General features: G+C 36.6%; 1 protein-coding gene across 4 annotated transcripts in view, besides 1 other annotated feature; it reads right to left on the bottom strand.

Annotated features, from left to right (window-relative positions):
- TOPAZ1 (testis and ovary specific TOPAZ 1) overlaps positions 1–17,123 on the bottom strand; it is a 94,804-nt gene that overhangs the window by 44,937 nt on the left and 32,744 nt on the right. For all 4 annotated transcript variants that reach the window (XM_011533694.3, NM_001145030.2, XM_017006361.2 and 1 more), the window contains exons 9-12: positions 9,722–9,785; positions 4,213–4,364; positions 3,914–4,006; positions 867–982 (exon numbers count right to left, since the gene is read on the bottom strand). In XM_011533694.3, coding sequence (XP_011531996.1) covers positions 867–982; positions 3,914–4,006; positions 4,213–4,364; positions 9,722–9,785 — 425 coding nt within the window. The remainder of the gene's footprint in view (positions 1–866; positions 983–3,913; positions 4,007–4,212; positions 4,365–9,721; positions 9,786–17,123) is intronic.
- Positions 563–1,762: an enhancer, noted in NCBI's record as "P300/CBP strongly-dependent group 1 enhancer chr3:44331483-44332682 (GRCh37/hg19 assembly coordinates)". NCBI's record gives its function as "activates an origin of replication core promoter dependent on BRD2, BRD4, P300/CBP, MED14 and CDK7 cofactors, with strong dependence on P300/CBP, by STARR-seq in HCT116 cells {active_cell/tissue: HCT116}" and the evidence as "EXISTENCE:reporter gene assay evidence [ECO:0000049][PMID:35650434]".

Raw genomic sequence — 17,123 nt, 5'->3', positions numbered from 1 at the left:
ACACATAATTTATATCTTTTTTTCTATGTATGTTATACTTTGATTTTTTTTTTTTTTAAGTCATGGCCTTCCTTTTTCTTGGTGTAAGTACATTATGGTACCACTTGTATAATTGTTAGAGTTTTTTTTTCAGTTTTTATTTATTTATTTATTTATTTTTGAGACGGAGTCTCGCTCTGTCGCCCAGGTAGTGGTGCGATCTCGGCTCACTGCAACCTCTGCCTCCCAGATTCAAGTGATTCTCCTGCCTCAGTCTCCTGAGTAACTGGGATTACAGGCACGCGCTACCATGCTCAGCTAATTTTTGTATTTTTAGTAGATATGGGGTTTCACCATGTTGGTCAGGATGGTCTTGAACTCCTGACCTTGTGATCCGCCTGCCTCGGCCTTGCAAAGTGCTGGGATTACAGGCGTGAGCCACGGCGCCTGGCTTTTTTTTTTTTTAAAGGTCTTTGGAGGCCCACAAGCTGAATAGAGAAAGTAAATAAGGGAGGGGCACTAAAGTATTTTATTAAGCTAACAACAAAAAATGAGTCAAATAGAAAAACGCATTAAGGTAATTTGTACACATATAAGAGAGTACATTAGGTGTAATTAAGTGGTGAAACAGAAGATAAAAGACACTCTTTTTACACTTGATGAGCAGGACATTGAGAGGAAATGAAGTACTAAGAAAAATAAGGTGAGGCTGGCCACAGGCAGCTTGACTAAAGTAGGGCACAGCCAAGAGACAGGAGAAGGGTTTATGACAGGCCACTATCTAAATGTTTGGGCATACAAACAGTTATTAGAGCTTTGCCTTCAGCTTTTATAAGTCCCCACCAAGACACATATATTTTGGCTTAAATAATAATGATTTTTCTCACCTCGATTTCATTTCCAGAACTGCAGTTATTTCTTGTTTGGAAGCTTGTACTTGGTATAAAAGCTTAACAATATAGTTAAAGTGCTCTGGGTCAAGCACCATCCCGGCTTCAACAAGCTGTAGAAGAGAAAAGAAAGAGTGGTTATTCTTACAAAAATGTGACAGAATTGAGGAGCCAATGTGTGTGAAACAACTAAGACACTAATGGAAGAAGTGAAACATGGAGACAAGTGGAATAAAACTCATTTAAAAAAATTGAGGCACAGAACCACAAAAAGATATCCTAAGAATTTAAAGCAAAAATGAAAATATTAAGTTTTTGGATTTTCTTCCTGCTCTCTAAGTTATCTCAACCACTTTATCATATATACCTCTTATTTAGTACTCAGTCTGTCTTCTAATCTAGGACTGGTATTCATACCTCATCCCTGATTATAAACTTCCTGAGAAGTATTGTTCCTGTGCCTCACATAGGGCCATGGCCAGAGAAGAATCAGTGATTCCTTGATAAATTAATCACTCAGGTGGACCAACTGCCCACATGTAACATAGCACGTAATTAAAAAAATACCAATTCAAAGGCTTTATCTGTCATTCACATATGACTCATTTCCTGTCTTCTTCATGAGCCTCAACGCTAATGAAGAGAACCAACAAGGGAATATCTGGACACTTCTAGTGTGAGAATAGATGAATGAGAGGCAGGCCTTTTCTGACAGCTCTTCTACATGACATTATCCTGGAAACGTGGGAAGATACAAGGTTGTGAGCTGGCAGTCTTATTAGTTGCCCCAGCTCAAATGATCCTCTTGACCTTGGTTCAAAGGTATAATGACTAGGTCCTCCAATACCTCCATAATACTTCAAAGGTATTATGACTAGCTACCCTGGACAAGGATTTAGAGAGTTAAGAATGACTCAACTGAGTGGTGTTTGAAATTCTCTGAGCAATATTTTTGCTGAGAATTTTATTTGGTTCTATTCTGGTTTTCAGAAAAATTCCCCTTTTAAGAAATTACTTAAATATCAAAATATATTTTGAATGTTTGGGAGAATGTATGCTTTGTCTCCAGTATAGATCTGAAGGGAGTACTAGGAAATAAGAATTTGGGGTAGGATAACAAAACAATACCAGGGGTAAGTGGAGAAGCTACCTGTTTCAAGGTATAATGTGAGATGCTGTAATTTGGCTGTTAGAACTCACAATTATATATTTTGAGATAGAATTTCTTTTAGTGAAGGACAATAGTAACAAGCTGCTGAGAGATTTTCCCCACCTTTGAACTCCAAGGAAAATTGTCTCAAATTTAGTGGTACTCGGCCCCTTTTGAATGGGTCCTAGAAATGCTACCCTAAGACACGTTATTCAACAACTTTAACTAAAAATAGTTTTGGTAAAAAAAAATCCTGTAAAAATGACTATTTAAAGCCTGTTCTAAAGATTAGGCTCTAATCCTTAAGCTCTATTAGCTCCTCTAGATTCAAAGCATGCTCAATTTTATTTTAAAAGAGGAAAACAGCTCCTCTCCTAAACCTACCAATCCACTACCTTAACAAATAGTTTTCCAAACATCATGAAGTAAAGGACTGGACATCATGATTTTTTTACTGTTACGCTCTACAACATTTGAAAGGGTCACTGGTGGTCTAACTGTATTCACTGACCTTGCAACGACTTTTGACTAAATGAACAAGGCCAACTATAAACAAACCTGCAAGAGAACAAATCAGTTATCTGGTAACTGACATGCCTTAAAAACTCTGCCCTTTAACACTGCTCAAAGACCAGGGTAAATATAAATTGTAACAGACTAGGTAACAATCTAAGGCAGGACAAAAATGTTAATTATCTTTTCTCAGTGATATTTTTGTTAAATACATGGAGTATGGTACACTGCTAGAATAAAGAGGAGGAAAAGCATCTTTCTCCATGATGATATTATGGTGTTATTACTGAACCCTGAAATAGTCTTAACAGGGAAATTGGCACTGGTTTTAAACAACTTCCAGAAATGATGGCTCCATATTAGCCATGCAAAAATGAAAATCATTGTCTTTGTTAGATATTCTCCACTAAGGGTAATTTTATTTAGACAGTCACTGCGGGGTACATTTTGCAGAAAGCCAAGTTATTCAGTATCAGACAATTTATGGAATCCTTACTGAGATTTTCTACAACCTCTACGGGTTATCAGTAACTTTTTATTTTTTGAGATGGAGTTTTGCCCTGTTGCCTAGGTTATGGCACAATCTTGGCTCACTGCAACCTCCGCCTCCCAGGTTCAAGCAATTCTCCTGACTCAGCCTCCTGAGTGGCTGGGATTATAGGAGTGCGCCACCATGCCCGGCTAATTTTTTGTGTGTTTTTAGTAGAGATGGGGTTTCACCATGTTGGTCAGGCTGGTCTTGAACTCCTGACCCTGTGATCTGCCTGCTTCAGCCTCCCAAAGTGTTAGGATTACAGGCGTGAGCCACCACGCCTGGCAATCAGTAACTTTTGATTCCAAACATCTCTAGGCAAGCAATTGTCAAGTTTTGTAATGTGAAATCTGAGGTATTCACTCACATATCTGTTCTTCTGCTTGAGTTCTTCCAATGTTGCTTCTGAAAGAAAACTGGCAGTTTTCCTATCAGGCCTATTCTGAAGTAGACGATTGAGTAGTATCAAATACTAGGAAGTATTTAACAAAAGTTGAATTTTATATTTTTGTAAGTCTTTTTTGGTTTGTTTATTTCTGTTGTAAATGATCTCAAGTCTTTTAGAGAAAGAAAATTTTATTTAATCATCCTTACGGAGTAGAGACGAAGACAATTCATACATCAAAAAGCAATAATCTGAGTGTCTGAAACTATTTAAGAGGAAGGCTTATCAGCCACTGGATTCTTTTTTTATAAACCCTATTTCAAGAGAAAAAGAATACTTCTGGAAATAGAATTCTTTGGCATCCAGAATGTGAATAAAAGGCAGCTCAAGGGTACCCCCCCATGGAAACAATTATTTTCTTGGTTACTCGCCATCAGAGAATAAAAGAGAAAATAAAACCATACCTTGCAAAAGATATCAATTAAAGCAGGTACAGCATTCCTTAATTTCATAGTTGCCACATACTCAAATATGTTTAGTAATATTTTCAGAGAAGGCTGGATAAAACAAAAAAATTACACTCATTTTCAGATCTTCTTTTAGTACACCTTAAATTTCTCAAATTCATTTATGTTGAAAAACACAAGTGGTTTCTAGGAAGTATTCAACAAATACAGAAATTCAACTGCTAAGTTCAAACAATGAATATGACAGAGAAATTAACATAAAATATTAAAATAACATATATTTTCAGGCTACTTACCAGCATTTTAACCATTATGCTGAGGTTCACTATCTGAAATACTTCTTTCAACAAACAATGTTTGAGTAAAGAATTTAGAAGGTCATTTAGCACTTGTAAATCAAAGTATACACCTGGGGGAAACTTTCTGTAGTACTCCATAAATATGTTTACTGAAAATGAAAATATATATACTAAAGTCATTTGCTGCTTCAGATATCTGTATTTCTTAAATTTGATAATTTTTCTATATATAAAGATAAAATAATATGAATTCAATGTAAATTCTTGAAAGGTACAGTTCTAGTATTAGAAAGAGTAGATGAAAATTAAAGCAAAAGTCAAAATGGCAATAATATTTGAAGTCAACCAAGCATGCTCAGCATGAAGTAACCCATGTGCTACCTGCAAAGAATAGGTCCAAACTGCCATTCCCATACATCATAGCGTCAATATGAGCTCCTACAGAGTCAAGCTCCCAGGCAGTCTTGAGGCAGTAGCCTTGGTACATATGCAAGGTTATATAGTTTGGTGATGGATGCAGACTGTTTTGACACATACCCATGCTTGTTGCTTTAAACCCACCAACATGTTGACATTATTTTTAACTTCTCCCTGCCTTGTCATGGATGGGGATATTTTTTATTTCAGTTTGTGATTGTGGAACATTCTACTAAAAATTACAACAATGCTGATTAGTTTTCTTTGAGAAAGTACTTCCTTCATGCCCATCCAAATCCTTAATTTTCTATGTAACATGATGTTTCCAATTTTTCCCCATTAATTTTACTAAAATTATTTACATTAGGATTCTTTCATTGATCATTTTTTTCTTCATTCCAAAATTTCCCAGGTTAAAATCTGTATACCTTAACTGCCTTAGTAAAAATACTTTTGGTTTTATTTTGTGTTAATTACTTCTATTAGAAATATTTATTACTAGCTGGATTACCTGGTATTGTTTAGGAAAGCCAGTAGCTACTGACAAAGTTCAGTGGCACAAATGAAAAATTAATGTTAAAGTTTTAATAATTTTTAAAACTTTAATAATATGGTATAACAATATTCAAATTTCTTGTAAAGCTTTTTTATATACTACAATTATTTTCCCTGGACACATACAGATAAATTCTTGCTGCTATACTTTTGGCAGTATTTATATAGTCGCCTATACAGAAGCTGATCAACTGATAAAACGGTAAACTCAGTGTTATTATAGCTTATTAATAAAACTGAAATTGCAGACATTCAAAAAGGTGCAGTTAATCTATGTTAGCCAGTGTGTAAATAGTCCACTAATTGACATGAAACCTTTCTCCTTTTTGTCATTAAGTTATTTATTTTTTTGAGACAGAGTATCGCTCTGTCACCCAGGCTGGAGTGCAGTGGCATGATCTCAGCTCACTGCAACCTCTGCCTTCCAGGTTCAAACGACTCTCTTGCCTCAGTCTCCAGAGTAGCTGGGATTACAAGCATGCACCACCAAACCTGGTTAGGTTTTTTTTTTGCATTTTTAGTAGAGACGGCGTTTCACCATGTGGGCCAGGCTGGTCTTGAACTTCTGACCTCAGGTGATCTGCCCGCCTTGGCCTCCCAAAGTGCTGGAATTATAGGCATGAGCCACTGCACCTGGCCTCATTAAGTTATTTTTAAACTGTTAATATATTATCTGCATTGAAAATAATGATCCTCTCGGCCAGGCGTGGTGGCTCGCACCTGTAATTCCAGCACTTTGGGAGGCTGTGGGCGGATCACCTGAGGTCAAGAGTTCGAGACCAGCCTGGCCAACAGGGTGAGACCTTGTCTCTGCTAAAAATACAAAAATTAGCCAGGCATGGTGGCACAGGCCTGTAGTCACAGCTACTCAGGGAGACTGAGGCAGGAGAATCGCTTGAACCCAGGAGGCGGAGGTTGCAGTGAGCCAAGATCGTGCGACTGCACTCCAGCCTGGGCGACCGGGGAAGACTCCGTCTCAAAAAATCAAAAACAAATAATGATACCTTCTTGTTAAACTGTTGGGTGGAAACTGTCTGAACATTTTAATACATTTTGACACAAACTACTGCATTGTCTTTTATTTTATTTATTTATTTTTGAGACACGGTCTTGCTCTGTCACCCAGTGCTGGAGTGCAGTGTTGTGATCTCGGCTCACTGCAACCTCTGCCTCCTGGGCTTGAGCGATCTTCCCACCTCAGCCTCCCAAGCAGTTGGGACTATAGGTGTGCTCCACCATGCCTGGCTAATTTTTTAAATTTATTTTTATAGAGATGGGGTTTCGCCATTTTGCCCAGGCTGGTCTAAACTCCTGGGCTCAAGCAATCCACCCACCTCAGGCTCCCAGAGTGCTGAGATTACAGGTGTGAGCCACTGTACCCAGCCTACATTGCTTTTTAAAAAGGGTTGTCAATTCATAACGCTACTTTACCAATTACTCACCAGAATCAGGTATTTTTACTCCTTTCTTTGGTTAGGAATGCATAATTCTAGTGAATCATTAACCACTGGATTTTCCTCTTGAAATGTTTCTAATTTTCACAAGAAGAAACAATATTCATGTCTTTCTAAATAGCTGATTGGACTCATTATTCTTATATATTGGAATAGTTTTGTATATTACCAGTGGTAAATCTAAAATATTGAAGATAATAGCTTTTTAGTTCAAATTTATGTGATCATATTTATATCTTTTATACTCCCTTTGATTACTTTAAACCACAGAAATTGTCATCTTTCTAAAAATCTGATTTAAAAGAAAAGACTTTTTTCTACTGAATTGCTAATTGCTATACTTCATTGATTCATTCTGGTATATGCTAAATAGCAGTTGTTTTAAAATGTTTTTGGCCATAAAACTTCTGGAAAGGGAAATTTTATGTGGAAATTCAAATATAAAACAGATAAAACAGGACCTATAGTTTTACTCTTAGGTATATACCCGAAAGAACTGAAAGCAAGGACTCAAGTAGATACTTGTATGTCAAAGTTCATGGCAACATTACTCTAATACCCAAAAGGAGAAAACAACCCAAGCGTCCATCAACAGATGAATATATAAACAAAATGTGGTATGTACATACAACAGGATATTATTCAGCCTTTAAAAGGAAGGAAATTCTGATACACGTTACAATATGGATAAACCTTGAGGACATTATGCTAAGTGAAATAATCCAGACACAAAAGGACAAATATTGTATAATTTTACTTATATGAAATACCTAGAATAGACAAATTCATAGAGCCAGAAAGTAGATTAGAGGTTATCAAGGGCTGAGAATGAGGGTAATGAGGAGTTATTGTTTAATGCATACGGCATTTCTGTTTGGAATGAGAAAGTTCTGGGAATGGATAATGGTGATGGTTACACAACATTGAATGTACTTAATATGCCAGTGAATCGTACACTTAAAAATGTTTAAAATGGTAAATTTTATGTATATTTTATCACATACATACTCCCAAAATGTCCAAGACAGACGGTGGAAATGTTCTAGATTAAAGGAGGCTAAAGAATCATGACAACTAAATGCACACCTGATCCTGGACTGGATCCTAAACTAGAGGGAAAAATGCTATAAAACGCCATAATTGGGTCAAGTGACAAAATTTGAATATAAATAATAAATTAGACAAAACTACTGTACTCATGTTAAATTTACTAATGTGGATAAATGTACCATGGTTATATAAAAGGATAGCCTGTTTTTCGGAAATATGCATTAAACTATTTGGTGGTAAAGGGCCATGATGCGTGCAACTTAACTTCAAGTGGTTCAGGGAAAAATGTGTGTGCGTGTAAGGCCATGCACATATGTGCACACGTGTGTGTACACACACATATATGGAAGGAAGGAGAGAGAGAACAAATGAAAATGATAAAGGATATGCCTCTTGTTTGTATTATTTCCATTTTCACAGATTTTTGTAAATTTAAAATTTCTAAATAAAAACTTAAAATTTAAAAACTTCTCAAAAGAATTTTATGTGGAAATTCAAATATAAAATAGATAAACAAGAAACTATGGTTAAACAGGGGGTGGGGGAGTCCACTGACTCAGCTTCTTCCTCTTGTGCACCAAAATGGTTCCTGAGGCCTCTCTGTAGAGCCTGAGTAGCTAAATCCATAACTTATTTATACCAGTGGTATTCAGAGCCTCTTTAAGTTGCTATCTAGTTATCTTATCATTCTTAAAGTGATTCCTCTTGTCTCAAATCCTATGGTCTTTCTAAACACTAAACCCCTCATATGTATCAGGTCTATTCTGAGCTATCTATTATTTCCCACTGATCTAAGTTTTTATTTTTACACCAAAAAATTTCCACAGGTTCTTGACAACTTTCTACATTTATTCTACAGGTGCTACATTTATGCTACAGGTGCTTATTTTTGTTCTGCATTCATTGTTTTAAAGCAAAATTCAGAAGTATTTTTCCTGTGGCCATATTGGATCTTTATACAGTCAGACTTATATTTTTGGGAGTTTTGCATCCTTTTCATGACATCCTTTTTCCTTCCACATCTCATGTTATGGAATTATTTCTGGAATTTAAAAGTTCATCCATATCTAACCTATATAGTTCCTCCTCCTTGGCTATCAAAATCCCTCAGGTCACAAGTATACTCCCATATAGGTATCTATTACTTCACCTTAACTACTACTTCTTTGTTATAGTTATATTAAGTTCAGACTAGCAATTCCATTAGGTGTTTCCTTTAATCCTTGGGGAGAATGATATTACCAGCAAAACAAAACAATAAACCTGTCAGAGACTTTTTTTTTAGCAGAATGAGATCTCAAGCAGAAATATATGAAGTGAAAGTGCTCTATTACCACATCTACTATGTGGCTTTGGTGGTTGTGTCAGGGTGACAAATATAAATAAATTAAGCATGGTGTCTATCTTCTTGCAGCTCACTATTAGTATGGGGAGAAGGTGGCAAAGAATGGGATGGGGTTGTGGAATCAGATAAGGGCCTAATAGAGGAGGTAATCCTATTTCCTACGACCTAGCCCTGAAGGCCGAATAGCCTTTCCTTTGCCATGAGGAAATGGGATGGAACCAGAGGCATCTCTGACAGAGAGAAGTGGTAATAGTAGCCTTGAAGTTTGAACACAGCCTGGCATGTATAGGGAACTGCACAGAACTTACTGGATGGTACACTGGCTACAAGAGGTAAATGTAAAAAGAGAAGAAGGATGAAGAAGTAGGAAAGAGTCAGCTTCTGAAAAATCCCTTTAGATAGAGTTAAAGACTAATTAACAATACCATTTTCTCCATCTTACACTTATAAATAAAATTTGTAAGTCATGAAAACATTAATGTGTAAGGGAATGACAGTGTTAGGTAGATTATCATTTTTTTATTAACCAAAATATCTCATTTATTTTCAATCCTTTCTTAGGCCAACAGAGCTACTCTTGGGTAAGGCATTCAGTTTTCAAACTTACAAATTATTGAATTTACTTTTAAACTATTTTCAAACAACACATTAATAGCTTCATACTAATTATTTAATTGTTTCATACCTGCACGCTGTAGCAAACACAGTTCATTGATATTTATATATTTCTTAAACACATCCATGCAAACCTGCAAAAGTCACGAAAAATGTAAAACTACCTTTTTTAAATATTCTGTAAGAACTATACACATTTCAATCCTATCTTTTTGCTTATATTGAAATTTTTAAATGATCTCAAAGGATTGGAATAAAGAAGCTGATGTTTGGTTAACTCACAGATTTGAAGTACATATTGAATTCATTACAAAAATCTTATGTTATTTTTTAAATAACCATTTGCTGGTGCAAGGATAAACACATTGACCAATGTATTAGAACAGAGATCCCAGAAACAGACCCACTTATATACAGTCAGCTGATTTATAACATGGTATCACTGTAGTGTAGCGGGGAAAAGATGGTCTTTTTGATAAATGGTAATGTGTCACCTGAAGATCCACATGGGAAAAAATTGTATCTTGATTCTCTTCTTATATCATAAACAAAAATCAATTCTAGCTGATTTGATTCTGCAAAAGGTAAAACAAACTTTTAAAGGAAAAACATAGAACATTTTCATGATCTTGGCAAAGATCTTCAACAGGATGCAAAAAGTCAATATTACAAAAGAAAATGAAATATTGGACTATAAAAATGAAGAAATTCTATTTCTCAAAAGATACTTTTAAGAGGGTGAAAAGGGGTTTCTGACTACCATAGCATTGCAGTGGGTATTAAATGCCTGAAGACCTGGCCTTGGACCAGCCACTTCAGTGGAGAAGTGATGGCATGGTGAGCCAAATGGATGAATGCAGTTCAGTGGGATTTTGCTAGAAAGTAGAAGAAAATGCATTTGCTTAGTTTGCTTGTCTTATACAGAGAAAGAATCTCATCAGGGTTAAAACCTACTAGTGGAGTTAGAGAGGCTCCCTAATACAGGGAAAGTGTAAATGAGAGACCCCCAGTGGTCCACACTCCGGCTGCAGACTCCTATAATCCTAGCCATGACAGAGTCCCTTGGCCCTTGTGGGTCCTGAGACTAATGTAGGGGGTTGCCTGGAAAAGCACTGCTCCAGAGAGGAAGAGCTCATGCTCAGTCCCACAAATTCCTCAGTCCTAAGTAGCTGCTAAAAAAGCTGCTAATTAACAACACCCTGGTGCCATTTTGGGAGCCCAGCCCCCACAGATTGTAACCCTGCCCTGGGGCCCAATGGAAAATCCCTGGAGCCCCACTGACATTCCTGGCCTGCAGCTGCTGCTGCCAGGGCTAAGGTGGGAGCCAATGGCAGTGACTCAGCGCCCCCACCAGAACCAGAAAGATGGCTACACATTTTCACACGCCAGAAGGACAAATTCTACTATTTGCAACCATCACTGCTGTGGGCTGCTAAAATAACTTTTGAAAAAGAAGAACAGGCTGGGTACAGCAGCTCATGCCTGTAATCTCAGCACCCACCAAGGCGGGTGGATTGCTTGAGTCTAGGAGTTCGAGACCAGCCTGGGCAACATGGTGAAATCTCAACTCTACTAAAAATAGAAAAATTAACTGGACATGGTGACATGCCTGTAGTCCCAGCTACTTGGGAGGCTGAGGTGGGAGGATCACGTGAGCCCAGGAGGCAGAAGCTGCAGCGAGCTGAGATCACACCACTGCACTCCAGCCTGGGCAACAGAGAAAGACCCGGTCTCAAAAAAATAAAAGAAGAAAAAGAAAAGAAAAGAAAGAAAAGGAAAGGAAAGGGAAAAAAAAGAAAGGAAAGGAAAGAAAAGGAAAGGAAAGGAAAAAAAAAAGCATCTAGTCACTTATAAAGAAATCTCCATCAGACTAACAGTGGATTTCTCAGCAGAAACCTTACAGACCAGGAGAGAATAGGATGAAGTATCTAAAGTGTGCTAAAAGAAAATATGGATATTATACTCAGCAAAGTTTGCCTTCATAAATAAAGAGAAATAAAGTCTTTCCCAGACAAGCAAAAGCTGAGGGAGTTCATCACCACTACACCAGCCCTACAAGAAATACTTAAGGGAATCCTACACCTAGAAGTGAAAAGAATGATATCTACCATGATGTAAATATAAACACTACTGATAAAGCAGAGCATACAAACAAGAAAGAGAAAAGAATCAAATGTTAGCACTACAGATAGGCAATAAGAGAGAAAGAAAGGAACAAAGGATATACAAAACAACCAGTTATCAATTAATAAGATGACAGGAATAAGCCCTCACACATCAATAATAACCTTGAATGTAAAGGAGTTAAACTTTCCACTTAAAAGATATAGATTGGCTAAATGGATTAAACAAACATGATCCAATGATATGCTACTTACCAGAAACTCATCTCACCTGTAAAGACACATATAGATTGAAAGTAAAGGGATGGAAAAAGATATTCCATGCAAACAAAAGCCAAAAGCAAGCAGGAGCAGCTATACTTATCAGATAAAACAGACTTTAAGTAAAAAAATAACAAAAAAGATAAAGTCATTATTTAAAGACAAATGGATCAATTCAGCAACAGGATATAACAACTTAAAACACATGCATCTATCAATGCAGCACCAAGACACATAAAGCATATATTATTACATCTAAAGGGAGGGACAGACTCCAATACAATAATAGTTGGAGATTTAAACACCCTACTCTCAGCATTAGACAGAACATCTAGACAGAAAATTAACAAACAAACATTAGTTTTAAACTGCACATTAAATCAAAGGACCTAACAGACATTTACAGAACATTTCATCCAACAGCTACAGAACACACATTCTTCTCATCAGCACATGGAACATTTTTTAGACCATATGTTAGAATACAAAACGAACCAGCAATTTAAAAAATCAAAATCATATCAAGTATCTTCTCAGATACAATAAAATAGAACTAGAAATCAATAACATGAGGAACTCTGGAAACTGTGCAAATACATGGAAACTAAACAACCTGCTCCTGAATGACCATCGGGTCAAGAAAGAAATTAAGAAGAAAATGCAAAAATTTCTTGAAGCAAATGAGAAAACAAAATACCAAAATATATGCGATATAGCAACAACTATTCTAAAAGGGAAGTTTATAGCATTAAATGCCTATGTTAAAAAAGTAGAAAGATTTCAAATAATCACTCTAACAATGCATCTCAAGAAACTAGGAAAGCAAGAAGAAACCAAACCCAAAACTAGTAGAAGGAAAGAAATAAGATCAGAGTGGGGCTGAAAAAAATAGAGACAAAAAAAAAAAAGGAGGATCAACACAATGAAAAGTTGGTTTCTCAAAATGATAAACAAAATTGATAAACTGCTAGCTAAACTAACCAAGAAAAAGAAAAGACCCAAATAAAATCTGAAATGAAAAAGCAGACTTTACAATGGATACTATGAAAATATAAAAAGATCATCAGAGACGATTATGAACAACTAACTATACATGAAAAAGTAGAAAATCTAGAGGAAATGGAATAAATTCCTGGACACATACAGCCTACTGAGATTGAATTAGGAAGAAACAGAAAACTTGAACAGACCAAAAACAAGTAATGAGATTGCATCAGGACCAGATGACTTCATTGCTGAATTCCAAACTTTCGAAGAAGAACTAATACCAATTTTCCTCAAACTATTCCAAAAAATGGAAGAGAAAGGAATTGTCCCTAACTCATTCTGTGATGCCAGCATTACCCTGATAACAAAACCAGACAAGGCTACAACAACAGTAAAAACTATAGGTCAATACCCCTGATAAACTCAGACTCAAAAATTCTCAACAAAATATTAGCAAACCGAATCTAGCAGCACATAAAAAAAATACATCATGATCAAGTGGGATTTATTCTAGGAATGTAAGTTTGGCACAACACACACAAATAAATAAACATGATATATCACATTAACAGAATGAAGGACAAAAACCATATGATCATCTCAATAAATGCAGACAAAGCATTTAATAAAATTCAATATCCCTTCATGATAAAAATCTCAATAAACTAGGCAAAGGAGGAATACACCTCAATATAGTAAAGGCCATTGTATTATTAGGTCATTCTTGCATTGCTATAAAGAAATATCTGAGACTGGGTAATTTACAAAGAAAAGATGTTTAATTGGCCCATGGTTCTGCAGGCTTTACAGGAAGCATGGTGCTGGCATCTGCTCAGCTTCTAGGGAGGCCTGAGGAAGTTTACAATCATGGCAGAAGGTGAAGGTGGAGCAGGCACATCACATGGTGAAAGCAGGAACAAGAGAGCAAGAGAGAGTGGAGCGGAAGGTGCCACACACTTTTATATGACCAGATCTCATGAGAACTCACTCACTATAGTGAAAAAAGCACCATGCCATGAAGGATCCACCCCCATCACCCAAACACCTTCCACCAGGCCCCACCTTTAGGATTGCAGATTACAGTTCAATGTGAGATATGGGCAGGGACAAATATCCAAACTCTATCAGCCATATAAGGCAAACCTGCAGCTAACATCATACTGAATGACCAAGACAAGGATGCCTACTTTCACCACTCCTATTCAACATAGTACCAGAAGTCCTGGCCAGAGCAAGCAGGCAAGAGAAAGAAATAAAAGGCATCCAAGTTGGAGAAGTCAAATTGTCACTCTTTGCTAATTATATGATTTTATATTTAAAAATAACCAAAGAATACACCAGAAAACTCTTAGATGTGATGAATAAATCAGTAAAGTTGCAGGATACAAAATCAAAACACAAAAATTAATAGTGTTTCTATACACCAATAATGAACTAGCTGAGAGAGAAATCAAGAAGGTATTCCCATTTATAAAAGTTACAAAAAAATACTTAGGAATAAATTTACCCAATGAGGTAAAAGATCTCTACAAGGAAACCACAAGGCACTGATGAAAGAGACTGAAGAGGACACAAACAAATGGAAAGACATCCCAAGCTTATAAATTAGAAGGATTAATGTCATTAAAATGACCATACTGGGCCAGGTGTGGTGGCTCATGCCTGTAATCCCAGCACTTTGGGAGGCTGAGGCAGGCAGATCATGAAGTCAGGAGAGCGAGACCATCCTGGCCAACATGGTGAAATCCCGTCTCTACTAAAAATACAAAAAAATTAGCTGGGCGTGGTGACATATGGCTGTAGTCCCAGCTACTCAGGAGGCTGAGGCAGGAGAGTAGCTTGAACCCAGGAGGCGGAGGGTGCAGTGAGCCGAGATCTCGCCACTGTACTCCAGCCTGGCGACAGAGCCAGACTCCGTCTAAAAAAAACCAAAAAAACAAAAAAGCTGCCCAAAGCAATCTACAGATTCAATGTAATCTCTATTAAAATACCAATGTCATTTTTCACAGACATAGAAAAACAACCCTAAAATTCACATGGAACCAAAAAAGAGCCAGAATAGGCCAAGCAATTCTGGAAAAAAAAAAAAAAAAAAAAAAAAAAAAAGAACAAAGCTGGAGGCATTAAACTACCTCACTTCAAAATACATTATAAGGATACAGTAAACAAAAAAGCATGGTATTGATATAAAAACAGACCTATAGACCAATGGAATAGAACAGAGAATCCAGAAGTAAATTTACCTATTTACAGCCAAATGATTTTTGACAAAGGCGCCAAGAACATACATTAAGGAAAGGACCCTCTTCAATAAGTGGTGCTGGGAAAATTAAGATATCCATATTCAGAAGAATGAAACTGGACCCCTATCTCTCACCATACACAAAATCAACTCAAGATGGATTAAAACTTAACACCTAAAACCATAGGAGAAAACATAGGGGAGATACTATAGGACATTGGTCTAGGCAAAGATTTTATGGCAAAAACTGCAAAAGCACAGGCAACAAAACAAAAAATAAGACAAATGGGACTATATTAAACCAAAAAGCTTCTGCACAGCAAACACAGTGAAGAGAACCTGTTGAATGAAAGAAAATATTTGCAAACTATTCATGTGACAAAGGACTAATATCCAGAATATACAAGGAACTCAAACAATTCAACAGCAAAAAAAGCAAATAATCTCATTAAAAAGTGGGCAAAGGACATGAACAGACATTTCTCAAGAGAAGACATACAAATGGCTAACAGGTATATGAAAGAATGCTCAACATTACTACATATCAGGGAAATGCAAATCTAAACCACAGTAAGGTATCATCTTACCCCAGTTAGAGTGCCTATCACTAAGAAGACAGAAAATAACAAATGTTGGTGAGGATGCAGAGAAAAAAGAACTTTTATACACTGTTGGTGGGAATGTAAATTAGCGCAGCCTCTGTGGAAAACAGTATGGAGATTTCTTAAAAAACTAAAAGTAAAACTACCATATGATTTAGCAATCCCACTACTGGGTATTTATCCAAAGAAAAAAAAATTAGTAAATTAAAGGGATACCTGTACTCACATGTTTATTCCAGCACTATTCACAATAGCAAAGATATGGAATCAACCCAAGAGTCCATCAATAGATCAATGAATAAAGAAAATGTGGTATATATACACAATGGAATATTATTTGGTCATAAAAAAGAATGAAATCATGTAGTCTGCAGCAATATGGATGAACTGGAGGTCAGTATGTTAAGTGGTAACAAGGAGGCACAAAGACACATATACCATATTCTCACTCTTACGTGGGAGCTAAAGAAGTTGATTTCATTGAGGTAGACAGTAGAATGATAGAAACAGAGGCTGGGAAGAATGTGTAGGTAGGAGGGGGAAAAAGAGTGGTTGGTCAAATAGTATAAACATACAGTTGGAAGGTATAAGTTCTAATGTTTGATAGCAGTGTAGGATGACTATAGTTAGCAACAATGTATTGTGTATTTCAAAGTAGCTAGAAGAATTTGAAATGTTCCCAACTCATAGAAATGTTAAACACTCAAGGTGATGGATACACCAAATACCCTGACTTGATTGATCATTATGATCTTGATTCACAATATTTTACATATTTATGGGGTATATGTGGTATTTTGTTACATCTATGCATGTAAACTGTATGGATGTATAATAATAAATTTTATGTATTTATGGGGTATGGGATATTTTGCCACATGCATAGATGTACAAAATATCACACACATAGATGTAACAAAATATCACATATACCCCATAAATATGTAAAATATTATGAATCAAGAGCAATTAAAAAAAAACCTACCAGTGGAGGTACAAAATAAGAACTGTCATCTCTCACTTAAAAGAATTAAAGGCGGCCGGGTGCAATGGCTCTGTAATCCCAGCACTTTGGGAGGCTGAGGCAGGCAGATCACCTGAGGTCGGGAGTTCAAGACCAGCCTGACCAACATGAAGAAACCCTGTCTCTACTAAAAATACAAAATTAGCCGGGCATGTTGGCGCACGCCTGTAATCCCAGCTACTTGGGAGGCTGAGGCAGGAGAATCGCTTGAACCCGGGAGGCGGAGGTTACAG

The sequence above is a fragment of the Homo sapiens genome, chromosome 3, assembly GCF_000001405.40.
Source record: "Homo sapiens chromosome 3, GRCh38.p14 Primary Assembly".
Lineage (NCBI taxonomy): Eukaryota > Metazoa > Chordata > Mammalia > Primates > Hominidae > Homo > Homo sapiens.
Note: the sequence above shows the minus strand (reverse complement) of the source record. Positions and strands in the feature narration are given on the sequence as shown.